The sequence below is a fragment of the Homo sapiens genome, chromosome 15, assembly GCF_000001405.40.
Source record: "Homo sapiens chromosome 15, GRCh38.p14 Primary Assembly".
NCBI lineage: Eukaryota > Metazoa > Chordata > Mammalia > Primates > Hominidae > Homo > Homo sapiens.
Genome location: NC_000015.10, coordinates 50,267,603 through 50,281,755, shown reverse-complemented (window position 1 = coordinate 50,281,755; position 14,153 = coordinate 50,267,603). Strand labels below are relative to the sequence as shown.

The following is a 14,153-nucleotide window of genomic DNA, read 5'->3' as shown; positions in this document are numbered from 1 at the left end:
GGTACCAAATATTTTTGGCTTTGTGGGCCCTACAGTCTGTCAACTACTCAATTCTGCCATTGTAGTGAAAGCAGCCATAGACAATTTGAAAATGGGTGGGTGTGGCTGTATTTCAATAAAACTTTATTTATAAAAACAAAATCATACTTGTCATATTTGGCTCAGGGCAGTTAGAAAATTGATGTTTACACACAAGCAAATAGCTCACATATCCTGCCCAGTTTCTCTCTTTTAAAAAACATTTAGGCCGGGCGCAGTGGCTCACGCCTGTAATCCTAGCACTTTGGGAGGCCAAGGCGGGCAGATCACGAGGTCAGGAGATTGAGACCATCCTGGCTAACATGGTGAAACCCCGTCTCTACTAAAAATACAAAAAATTAGCTGAGCATGGTGGCGTGCGCCTATAGTCCCAGCTACTCAGGAGGCTGATGCAGGAGAATTGCTTGAATCCGGGAGGTGGAGGTTGCAGTGAGCTGAGATAATGCCACTGCACTCCAGCCTGGGCAACAGAGCAAGACTCCGTCTCAAAAAGAAAAAAAAATTATAGTGTTAATTATACTTTCAATCTTAAAGATTAAATGTATTCAGCATGCAGTGCTAATGATCTTTGTCTTCTAGGTTTTATAGAATTAGCCAAAAAATGCTGTGAAAATGAGTTTTTTATTTCACCTGGTAGGCAGAAGGAAACTATCTTTTCATTTTTATCAAGATAAATTGTACTTCTTGAAGTTAAAATATGCAGTATGGAAAATAGGATTAGGTTCTTTTCACTGTTAGACTACCTCACTCGGTTTGCTTTCATCTTCTGCAATAATTGTGAATCCTTTCCTGACTCTAAATGTTAATAAATAGGTAATACTAGAAGATGCTTTAGAGTTAACCTCTTCCAATATTTCCTGCTAAATCAAGGTAAATTTATACCCATATTCAAAACTTTGGCTACCAAAGGATTGCTCTTATTTTTCACATAATGTAAGTTTTTGTTTGTTTTCTCTTTTTTCTTTTTTTTTTCTTTTGAGACAAGGTCTTGCTCTGTCACCCAGGCTGGAGTGCGGTGGAGTTGCTCACTGCAGCCTCAACCTCCTGGGCTCAAGTGATCCTCCTGCCTCAGCTTCCCAAGTAGCTGGGACTACAGGCGCATACCACCATGCCCATCTAAGTTTTGTATTTTTTGTAGGGGTTTTGCCATGTTGCCCAGGCTTGTCTCAAATTCCTGGGCTTAAGTGATCTGCCTGCCTTGGCCTCTCAAAGTGCTGGCATTAAGGTGTGAGTCACTGTGCCCAGCCACACGTAAAATTTTAAAACACGTGCATGGCTGTGGACACTCCTGCCAGAGCTGTGGTCTAGCTCCTGGGAAGTAACATCCAACCTTCCACCCCTCACCCCTTCCATTGGTGTCCTTAAAGTCCTGCACAGTTTGTAGCCAGGGTACTGGCATTGATTGCTTACCTTGGACTCATCCTAGGTTGTCTTTTCTGACTTGTTCCTATCTTGGCTGGATTTAGGATAAGAGGAGGGGAGAAGAAGTGTTGGGAGGCAGCAGGATAGGGCCTGGGCATTGCTTAAACTGGGAGTAAGGGACATTCCTTTCTTCTACTTGTACATTTTGTGTAATTGGAAGATTTGGAGATCTTTTGTCTCCAAATGAATCACTCCCACATCTGGTGGGCCCATGAGAAAAAGAAATGTTGGATCTAGCTTCATTCCCATTGTGGGGAAGGAAGTGGAATCACAGAAAGGCAGGAGGATTATACATGCTCCTGCTTGTGGACCAACCATATGAATAGAGAAGGTGAGGAATCCTTTGGTGTTCACAATGGGCAGGAGTCAAGGAGGCAGAGGATATACATAATAGGATATATAGAAAGAGAATCTCATACTGTGCCTCCCCAGTGGTCGGCCAACCACTTACCTTTAGTTCTCTCTGGCCAAGTGTCTTGTCCACTGTGGACCTATCATTCTTGTGATAGTCCGACCCCTGGCCTTCACCCCACTCAGAGGTCCTGGGCATCTGTGATGAGGTTGCCTCATTCCTAAGACCTGGAAACTACCCTTGAGCTTTGGTCTGTGGAGGTTGAGCTTTTGTCCTTGTGCTCACTTAGAGGTGTGGGAATGGGTTCGTTGAAATGTTTCTCCTTGTTTTTCCTGCAATAACTGAATGGGGCAGAGTGAGGAGGAAGAGGAGAAACAATACCGTTTTCATTGGATTGGATTTGTGTTTCAGCTCTCAATTTGTTGAGGAATTTAATGCATATATTTTATACCTATATAATTTAATCATTGATAATTTAGTATTTTATTGGTTTATGAAATAGTATAATTTAGGAAATACTGATCTTGATCAGCACTCTTCATTTTAAAGGTGAATTATCTTGCTTGCTATTGTAAATGAAAATAGTTTTAAAAGCAGTAATGTTAGAACCCTATAAATCCAACTTCTTACTATGTGACCTTGGGAGAGCTACATCATCCCTGAGCATCATTTTTCTCATCTTTAACTTGTGCATAATATCTGTCTTAGATGCTTATTGTTGGAAATCACCCTGTTTACTCATATAGTGGGTGCTCAGTAAAATTGTTTTATAATTATTACCTTTTGGTAAGAGCACCACAAATGGAAATATAAAGAGGTATGGTTGTATATTTCCCTCTTAAAAACTCTTCACTAGTTTTTGTAGTACATATAAAAGTACAGGTGCCCAGTTTGGAGTCTTTCTGTTAGTCTTATTTCTAAATAGGAAAATAATTTCCTTGCAGTCAGAAATTAATCCATATCTCATAATGTGGAGCACAAAATTAGGGACTTAAATGTTAGTGAATTGATTGAAAAGGCAAGATGTCTAGGAAATTTCAATAGGTGGCTGCTTTTAGCTACTACGGTTTTTTTTTTTAATTTGAAGGATGCATGCTTATATGTATTAATAATGTATTTTTGCAAAAATTAAAAAAAAAACCCTCTTCTTTTAATTAGGAGAGAGAAGCTCTTCAGAAACAGCTGGATGAAGCAAATCGAGAAGCACAAAAATATCGACAGCAGCTCCTAAAGAAAGAACAGGAAGCAGAGGCCTACAGACAGAAGTTGGAAGCTATGACTCGTCTTCAGACTAATAAAGAAGCTGTTTAATTGAAATGAACATGTAGTTTGATTTTACTTTTGGTCAAGAAAGAATACAATCTTGAACTGTACACAACAAAGGTACAGCCATGGGAATACAGAATGATAGAAGAGACTACAGATGGATAATTGGACTTAAGCCATGAGCTCTGAGTTCTTGTAACATAAAACTTTACTTTAGAAGTTGTGAAATGTATTTAAAACTGAATTCTGTAAATAGTTTTTTTTTTTTTACAGTTCCAAATGAGTTGATAAAGATTGTTGAAGAGATCCAAAACCAGAATAAGCCACTGTTTTTGTGAATTCTTTTTGATTTTAGTACAAACCTTAATTTCTCAGAAACGGAACAGTTTTAAGGGTGATCGTTGTTGGTTAGGCCAAATGTTGTGTAATAATTATGGTGGACTGATGCTGGAATTACTCCTGTAGGTATAAACCTCTGTATGAAGAGAAGATTTCTCCCAGGAAATCTTTGTACAGCTTTAAGTTGTGTCAGATTCTCTGAAAACATTTTTTAGAAAGCAAAATTTTTATATTTGTTCAATTTCAGCTATACCCAAGTAGATTTACATGTATATGAAGCAAATATTTTTAAAAATTTCTGTTTGTACATATTCTGCATGTTTTATAATTTCAAAATGCATCACTTACATAGGTATTTCTCCCACAGAAATGATGAAAGTGACCAGAAAAAAACAAAAACAAAACCCCTTTACTCTGTAGGTCATTGAAACGAAGTAAGCTGGCAGCTGGTTTTATTGGAATGACAGTGTTCTCGGAAGGAGCAGCCTACAAGATAACTTGAATTTGCCAATTCTGCAAAATCTGTGCTTTTTTGAAAATTTAAGAGTGGGGACGTGAAACTGTATTCTGTGCCTTCCATCATGATTTCCACATGAAAGCACTTTAAGGCACTGATTTTAAGATAATGTTTTTGGAAAACCCAATGCATATGGGTTTCTGAAATATTTTATGGACTTATTTCTCCCCAGGAAATGATTCTTACGGAAAAAAATTGCTTTTGTATGTAGAACAGGAACTTTTTGTATTACAGTGATGCAATAGACATGTCTAATGTAACTTCTACTTTTCCTTTTGAAAGCTCAGTGTCTGTGCTATGACTTGCTCTCATCACAATATTGTTGAATTCCACAATGTATGGACATTAAACACTGGCAGACTGTTCACTTTTTCTTTTTTTTTTTTGGTAAAATATTACTTCAAACCCCTTTTTCTTGCTTTATTTTTCAGTGTTTTATTGCTTTATGAACTGTTTAACCCTGAAATCCCTCTAGGTTATCTATACTGTATAAAAAAGCAATTACCCTTAAAACTGTACTCTGGCCTACTTTTCTATTTTGCAATTAAATATCTTTTTCACATATGTTCATTGTAGACTTATGTTTTTATCACATCTTATTAACACATTAAAAATGTTATCCTACTGCATATTTGAGCCACCATATGAAAATATTTTATACTCTCCACAACATGACTTTAAAATTCCTGAGGTAACTCTTGAGAATTTGTTAACTCTTTCACTGGAATTACCAGTATATTTGTTAATGTAATAAAGGGGTCTATGGTCTGTCAGCCTGATGGTTACTATTGGAAGCACTTAAAAAAGAGTTTAGGGCAAATTGAAGAACTCTGTAAGGAAGAGGAAAAAGATCTTTTTCAATTTTCCACTAAATTTGACATATTTTAAGTGATCCAAAAACTAGTTTTTAAAAATGCCAGGCCATATTTTCAATAGCATGAAGTGACTTTTTCTGCAGTCCTGAAAAGTCAATAGAGAATGTTGTTTCTGGTTACTTCGGTACATTAATTTGTCATGTTAGGCAGGGTGCTGGTACCACAGCCAGGTACCCTGACATGTGGTGCTGGAGCAGAGAAGGGCCAGTGTCTTCACCCCAGAGGGCAATCACTGTAGAGTTTTGCTTTCAGACCAGGCTGGCCCTGAAAAGACTCAAGACAGTGTTGGGAACAAGTTTGTGAAAGCTAACTTAATGTCGTCTTTGACTTCCAGTCTCCTCTCCTGCTGGAGACTTTACCTGGTGCAAGAAATAATTTTGATTCCTAATAACAACAGCTGGCATAGATGGGAGAAAATAATTGGTGCTTAAAAGGAGTAAGTCTATGATAGCATCAGGTACTCAGGTATCTGTGGAGGAAGCTCACCTTTTTCAGAGTCATTGTTACATAACATAATTTCTCAATCATTTACATCTGATTTACTGTTCTGTAAAATCACTACTTAGACAAGAATTTGTAATTAAAACTTAAAATGGGTGTCTTCTTCCCTTCACTTATTTCATGCTGTTTTCAGGTGGGCTGTAAAAGCTTTGCATTCTAGTCATTCTCAATAGTGCTCTGAACAGAGGATTTAAAGAACTGACAAAAATAAAAGTATATGAAATAAAAGTTTTCAGAAATCCACATAATTGTTTCCACTACATAGTGATGGATTTGTAGTTAGCAGTCATCTGGTTGCCACATCACTGGTTAATTGTTTCCACATATGTGTGAACAAACACCTGGAGCAACCTTTCTCAACCAGGGTTCTGCAAGACAAGCCATTTAGTGTTATGGTGTAATGAATTATTTTCTTTCCTGTGCACCTAGAATCGTTCTTGTTACGTACTATCCAGACACTGAGTTCGTTAGGCATCTTGACTGCCCAATTACTTTATTCAGATTTAACACTTCCCTCTGTATAGTCCCTGGACCTCTAGAATTATAAATTCTAGACTGAATCTGTGATGCTTTCAGAAAGCCTCATCTGAGAAGTAGTATCTGCAGGGACTGTGCTTCTCAACTAATTTTCATTTATTGTTATTTATTTTATTTATATCTTAATTACTTCACAAAAGGACTTGTGATGTCATTTGTTTTCGTTGGCTTTTAGGAATTATTTTCTTAACATCAATCTTTTGTGATATGAATGGCAGAAGAGTTCTTTTACTCTGTCACTGGATTGCTCTATTTCTTTATGGTGGTGGAGGGTTGGGAAGACAATTAGAGAGAAAAGAGGATAAATGGGAAATCTCATGTAATGAAAGCTACACAGATGGTCCCCAATTTATGATGCTTTGATTTATGATTGTTTGACTTTACAATGGGTTTATCAGGGTATTAATTGCATTTTACATTTATGATATTTTTGACTTAGGATGGGTTTATCAGGACATAACCCCATTGCAAGCCAGAGAGCATCTGTACTTGTTTGTAATAAAAAGATCTGCTTACAAATATCTTTGTCCAAAACGTGACTGATGAATGTCTACACCAGTATATATGTCTTCAACGTGATCATTTATGATGTTATTGAAAATTAGAAGAAACCCTTGCTCATAACAGGAATTGATGAGTTGATAGAAATGTTTATGAGTACCTTATTCTGGTGTTACTGATTTTTTCCATACTACTCTATAACAAAGTTTTTCCTGGTAAAGTCTATAAAGTTTATTTGTGCTTTAATACCTGAAAGACCTTGAGAACTGACTCAGAATAAAATAGAGCAAGAAGAAAAGCCTTTTCAGATAAAATCACAAAGGAACCTTAATGTCCATATGGATGGGTTCCCAAGGCATTAGCACTCAGGCTTATATAGCAAATAGAAAAAAATATTTTCCATTCACCTGGTTTCTATTGAATAAATAACTCCTCCATTATGTCAGATCAACTTAGGAATGGACTAACTAATAGATTTGTTATTTCATCAAATAATATTTACCGTGCTTGGATTTCATTATAGATAACTAGTCTGTTGTAGTTTTGAATGATGTCTGCTATTTGCTTCCTCTGTTAGTTGAGAAAACCTGATGCACATGGACTCAGTTTGACGTAAGCTCTCCATATTCATTCTCAGATTATTCTGCGTAACCTACGATGGAAAACATACTATCATCATTGGAAATACGCTTCTGGTTCCAAATCAAAATTTTGATATCAATATTTGTGTAACTTATTAAAACTATTTTCCAAATATATAGATACACAGATACATAGTCTTGATCCTCTTGATACACTGAGCTCTTTTAAATTTTTTCACTTCAATGACAGTCAAATTTTGAACATAATTTGGATACAATTTCTAGGGGCTCTTTATTTTCAGATAAATATTGTAACTACCCCACAAATGCCACCAGTTGCTTTTTGGAAAAATTTTGACCTGGTTTCTGAGATTCTGTTCATTATGCTTTATTAAGTGCTTCCTCAGTTTTGTGTTTGTGTGTGTGTTTTTGAGACGAAGCCTCGCTCTGTCGCCCAGGCTGGAGTGCAGTGGGGCAATCTCAGCTCACTGCAACCTCCACCTCCCGAGTTCAAGTGATTCTCGTGCCTCAGCCTCCTGAGTAGCTGGGACTACAGGCACGCACCACCACACTCGGTTAATTTTTGTATTTTTATTAGAGCTGGGGTTCACCATGTTGGCAGGCTGGTCTCAAACTCCTGACCTCAAGTGATCCGCCCACTTCAGCCTCACAAAGTGCTGGGATTCCAGGCATGAGCCACCAGGCCTGGCCCTAGCTTCCTCAGTTTTTAATTTGGATAGTTTTGATCTCATGTGCATGGTTGACATGTAATGTTTTTCACATCTGTAAATATGTAATATTATCGAATACAGTTCCAATCTTACTACTGATTGATTACATGGTTTATAATTTTGAATTGTATGGATTATTTAAATGTCTTCCTGCTTTTTCTATAAGCAAACAATTTTCCTACATATTTTTGTGTGCCAGTTAACAGTCAGTAGAGCATTTGTTTTTGCGTTACTATTTTTCATTATTCTAGACTTACCGTCTTCATCATGACTCTTAAGAATTGTTTAAATTGCATTCATTTACTATGTTTTGAAGTTTTCATGAAAGATCACAGAGAATAATATAACATCCATGTACCTACCACCCAAATTTAATACATCCTAAGTGGCCTTCTTTGCTTTAATTCTTTTAAGAATCAGAATGTTACAGATGTAGTTTAAGTTCTTTTGTGTTCTTCCCATAACCCATTCCCTTCCTCTCTCCTAAAAGGTAACCAATATCAACCACTATCCTAGGTGTGAGATGTTTCTATCTACATTTTTACATTATGCTTTTATTATAGACTGGATTTCAGAAATATATAGTAGAGTTTTGTGTGGTTCTTAAACTTTATTAAGGCTATTGTACTATATAAGTAACATTCTACATATTGATTTTTTCAGTTAAATAGTATATTAGATATTCATATTTATACTTGAACAGCTAAGTCATTCATTTTGATTGTTATATAAAATTAAGTAAAAATGTATCCTAATTTGTCATTTTTCTCTTATAGAAATATCACTTCCAATTTCTTGCTATTGTGAATAGTGCTATAATGAACATCCTTGTATATTATCTCCACATAGCATATGCTAAGTTTCCCAGAGGCATGTACCTAGTAATGAAATTGTTAGGTCTACAGTAGTCAACCTTTCTAGATATTGTCAAATTGCTTTCTAAAGTATAATGAGTGAATAATGATAATTTTCATCTCACCACATCTCACCAACACCTAATGTCACATTTTTAACATTTTTGTCGTTGGCCTGGCCCGGTGGTTCACGCCTGTAATCCTAGTACTTTGGGAGGCTGAGGCAGGTGGATCACCTGAAGTCAGGAGTTCGAGACCAGCCTGACCAACATGGAGAAACCCCGTCTCTACTAAAAATACAAAATTAGTTGGGCATGGTCGTGCATGCCTGTAATCCCAGCTACTCAGGAGGCTGAGGCAGGAGTATCACTTGAACCCAGGAGACGGAGGTTGCGGTGAGCCAAGAACATGCCATTGCACTCCAGCCTTGGCAACAAGAGCAAAACTCCGTCTCAAAGAAAAAAAAAATTTTTTTTTGTCAACCCATGTGGGTATGAAATTGTTTCTCATTATTTGCATTTCACTAATTACTAGTGAGGTCAAACATTTTTTCCCTCATTTCTTATCCATTAAAGTTTATTCTGTGAATTGCCAGTTCATGGCCATTTTGGGGGTGTAGTTTTTCTTACTGATTTATTGAAGTTTAATGTTTTTCTGGAAACTAATATTTTGCTAGTTGTGTGAATTGTAAATATCTTCTCCCACTGTATTTTTTTAAAAACTTTTTATTGTCTGAATTAGCACATATTTAGTGAATGCCTCTATGTGCAATTCTTTTTTTTTTTTTTTTTTTTTTTTTGAGATGGAGTTTCGCTCTTGTTTCCCAGACTGGAGTGCAGTGGCATGATCTAAGCTCACTGCAACCTTCACCTCCCGGGTTCAAGTGATTCTCCTGCCTCAGGCCTCCTGAGTAGCTGGGATTACAGGTGCCCGCTACCATGACCAGCTAATTTTTTGTATTTTTAGTAGAGACGGGGTTTCATCATGTTGGCCAGGTTGGTCTCGAACTCCTGACCTCAGGTGATCCACCCGCCTCGGCCTTCCAAAGTGTAGGGATTACAGGCATGAGCCAGTGAGCTCAGCCTCTATGTGCAATTCTTAATGTCAAGCTGAGGGAGAAGTCTAAGAAGTTTTATATAAGTCTGACACCCAGGGTGCCTGTAATTAAAGGTGGAATGAAATTTTAATTTGCGAGTTGATCCTTCTGTTTTTTAGTTCAGTACTTCCTCCTTTTTAGAATGTATGCTTTCCAGATAATTAGTGAGATAAAGATTTGATTTTCACTTTTAGCATTTCTAAAAGCTGTAATATGCTACCTAACTTGTTTTTAATTCTTGCTCTAACTTCTGATATTTTATAGTTGTGTATTTTGAATTATATTTTAAAGGATTAAGTGGATTATTGCACATGATATTTAGTAAAGTGTTTGGGAGCATTTAGCACAGCCTCCAAAAATTAGAATTCCACTAGCCCCCTGATCCTACATATCTGGCATCTTAAGAGTCAATAATAGCAAAGTTGAGAGAGGCAGCTTGGTGTGGTGGAAAGAACATGGGTATTGGATCCGATAGCCTTAGGTTCAAATCCTGGCTTCTTCAGTAATTATCTTCTGTAATTTTAGCCAAGTGTTTAATTTCCTTGAGACTCAGTTTCTCGAAGATGAAGTAGAAAATGGCTTTCACCAGGTTGTTGTAAAGACTGAATCAAATAGTGTGCATGAAAATTGCAAGGCATAGTGCTCAGGACATAGTTAACATTCTTAAATATATGTTGAGGAATGGTGTGCACCTGAAAATTCCTATAAAAGCTGCAAATATACATGCCTTTTGATCCAGCTGTTCCACTTCAGGATATCCTTACTCATGTGTGCAAAGCAATTTTTTGTAGAAATGTTTGTAATAGCAAAAGACTGGAAACAACTGAAATGTACACTGCTAGGGAACTGATTACTCTCTGGTATGTCCACGCAATGCAGCTCTATGAAAAAAAGGAGTACGTGTCAAGATATATTAACAAATAAAGTACAGAATATTGTACTGTACTTATCCCTTTTGTGTTTAACAAAAGAAAGAAAAGGAGAAAAATTAGAATATAGTATATATTTGCCTTTATGTGCAAAAAAAGGAAATCACTTTTTGTTTTTTTTGAGACAGGGTCTCATTCTGTCACCCAGGCTGGGGTGCAGTGGCGCTATCACGGCTCACTGCAACCTCAACCTCCCAGGCTCAAGCGATCCTCCCGCCACAGCCTCCCAAGTAGCTGGGACTACAGGCACACGCCGCCATGCCCAGCTAATTTATTTATTTATTTTTGGTAGAGATGGGGTTTCGCGATGTTACCCAGGCTGGTCTCAAACTCCTGAGTTCAGGTGATCCACCTGTCTTGGCCTCCCAAAGTGCTCTGGGATTACAGGCATGAGCCACTGTGCCTGACCTCTTTTCTTCTTGATGTGAAATTCTTCATAGATTAGACAAATTTGCCCATTGTGCAAATATGTTGCAAATATATTTTCTCAGTTTGTCATTTATCTTGATTTTTCTTATGGTTTTAAAAAAATGTGATTGGATTTATGGTTTCTGGCATTGAACCATAGTTATAAATGTATTCTTTACTCTGAGGTTGTCCAGGGAATCTTCTAATTTTCTTAATTTAATTTTCATCTTTTAAAAACAGCTCTATTGATGCATAATTGATATACAAAAATAGCATATATTTACTACTATTTGATGAGTTTGGACATGTGTACACACCCATGAAGCCATCAGTTAACCTGATGGTGGTGATGGTTTCCTGTAATTTTATGCTTCCATTTTTCACATTTAGATCTGACTTTTCTGGAATTTATCTAAGTGCACGATGTGAAAGATAGATACAGCTTATTTTTCTTTCCAGATGGCTATACCTTGTTCTAGGACAATTTATTAAATAGTCCATCTTTTTCTTTCTGATCTGAGATGCTATCTTTATTATATGCTAAATTTCTGTACATGTTTAAATTTATTTGCTCCTTTTGTTTGTCTCTTTGTACACCAGTATCTACCTCATTGTTCTAATTATTCGAGCTTCAGGATACATTTTAATACTTCTGGGTAGGAACAGAACCTTCTCGTTACTCTTACAAAATTTTCTTCTTTATTCTGGTTTATTTTTCCTAAGAACTTTAAAAGTTGGCACTGAATTCCAAAATAGAACACCCAAAAACCTGTTGATTTTTCCACTGGGATTATGTTAAATTTTCGGGTTAACTTAGGGGAAAACCATTATTTCATGATGTTAAATCTTACTCCATGAGAGAGCATGGTACGTCTTTTCATCTGTACAGGTCTTTTTTTATATTGTTCAGTAGCAATTTAAAAAAATCATCCACTATGTTCAATGAAATAAAAGGCCAGATTTAAAAATTTGGCAAGGAGTTGAAAACTATAAAAAGGAACCAAATAAAAATTCTTTTTTTGCCCCCATAAGGCAGAAGAAATACAAATTCTACAACTGAAAAAATATAATATCTGATATTAAGAAATCAATAAATGGTTTATTATATTAGCTACATTTGAAGAGACAACTAAAAAAGAAAAATATTTTCAAACCAACTCAGAAACAAGAAGATGGAAAATAAAGAATACAATGCTATTTATATTTATATATAATAGTATATATAATACACAAGTTTAACATAGGACTGCATTTGCAGAATAGAAGAGAGATAATGGGGAGATAGCAACACTTGGAGAAAAAATAACGAACACTTTTTTATTTAAAGTGCCTAACTTGGCTGGGTGTGGTGGCTGACACCTGTAATCCCAACACTTTGGGAGGCTGAGATGGGTGGATCATTTGAGCCCAGGAGTTCAAGACCAACTTGGGTAACATGGCGAAACCCCATCTCTACAGAAAAACTCCAAGAAATAAAAAACAATAATCATCTGAGTGTGGTAGCACATGCCTGTCGTCCTTGCTACTCAGGAGGTGGGGGTGGCAGAATTACCAGGGCCTGGAAGTCAAGGCTGCAATGAGCTGTGATCGCATCACTATACTTCAGCCTGGTTGACGAGTGAGACCCTGTCTCAACAAATAAAAATAAAAATAAAAATAAAAATGCCTAACTTGGTGCTTGGCACTTTCTAAAATTGACACATAATATTTGTACCTGTTTATGGAGTATATGTGATATTTTGATACATGCATACAATGTGTGTAATGATCAAATCAGGATATTTAAGATATCCATCATCTCAAACATTTTTCTTTGTGTTCAGAACATTCCAAATCTAGCTATTTTGAAATATACAATAAATTATTAACTATAGTCATCCTAATGTGCTATTGAATATTATTGAATTCCATCTAATTATATGTTTGTACCAATTAACCAATCTCTACTTATTCCTCACCCCCAGCTCCCACCAACCCTTTCCAGTCTCTGGTAACTATCATTTTATTCTCTACCTCCATGAGATCAAATTTTTTACCTCCCATATCGTTGTCAATATTATTATTTTTCCCACCCTGGCTCCTAATGAAGGATTTATTGACAATATCACTGGAATCTAAATCCTCTAGGCCATTTTTTCACCAATGCCCTTATTTTCTTAGGGCTTTTTTTTTTCTTAAATCAACAGTTTTATTGAGATATAATTCCCATTCTATAAAATTTCCTCGTTTGAAGTGTACAGTTTAATAGCTTTTAGTATATCCACAGAAGTGTGCAACCATCACCATAATAAATTTTAAAACATTTTCAGCAGGGCGCAGTGGCTCACGCCTGTAATCCCAGCTACTCAGGAGGCTGAGGCAGGAGAATTGCTTGAACCCAGGAGGCAGAGGTTTCAGTGAGCCGAGATTGCACCACTGCAATCCAGCCTGGGCCACAGAGTGAGACTCCATCTCAAAACAAAACAAAACAAAGCAAAATAAAACGAAGCAAAATAAAACAAAACCAAAACCCAACAATTTTGAACATTTTCATCTTACCACCCTGCCAAAAATCCCTGTTCTCCTTAGCCATCAATCTTCAGCTCCCTACCCACTTCTAACCATGAATCTATTTTGTAGATTTGTCTATTCTCGATATTTCATATGAATGAAATAATATAATATATGGTTCCTTGTGACTAGTTTCTTTCACTTAGTATGTTTCCAAGTTCATCCATGTTTTGGTATGTATCAGTACTTCATTCCTTTTTATCATGGAATAATATTCTGTTGTATTGATATACTACGTTTCATTCATTCATCTGAACATTTGGATTATTTCCATTTTTGTCTATTATAATAATTCTGCTATGAACACCCATGTATACGTTTTTGTGTGGACATGATTTCATTTTCCTTGGATATACACCTAGCAGTAGAATTGTTGAGTCATAAAGAACTCTAGGTTTAGCTTTCTGGGGAGCTTCCAGATTATTTTCCAAAATGGCTGTGCCATTTTACATTCCCACCAGTAAAGTATGAGGGTTCTAATTTTTCCCTGTCTTCACCAATACTTGTTGTTATCTATCTTTTTTATTATAGTCATCATAGTCTGTATGAAGTGATTTCTCACTGTAGTTTTTTCAGTAGTAATTAAAAAATTTCCTACCTATTTTAGCCTAAAATTACTTTCCTGACTCTCTTCAAGGAGCCTGCCAGAGAATTC

At 36.4% G+C, this 14,153-nt stretch overlaps 1 protein-coding gene across 11 annotated transcripts in view; it reads left to right on the top strand.

The window, feature by feature from the left end:
- GABPB1 (GA binding protein transcription factor subunit beta 1) overlaps positions 1 to 6,367 on the top strand; it is a 79,810-nt gene extending 73,443 nt beyond the window's left edge. For all 11 annotated transcript variants that reach the window (XM_011521426.4, NM_016654.5, XM_024449886.2 and 8 more), the window contains one exon: positions 2,972 to 6,367. In XM_011521426.4, the coding sequence (XP_011519728.1) occupies positions 2,972 to 3,124 (153 nt within the window). In that variant the 3' untranslated portion in view covers positions 3,125 to 6,367. The remainder of the gene's footprint in view (positions 1 to 2,971) is intronic.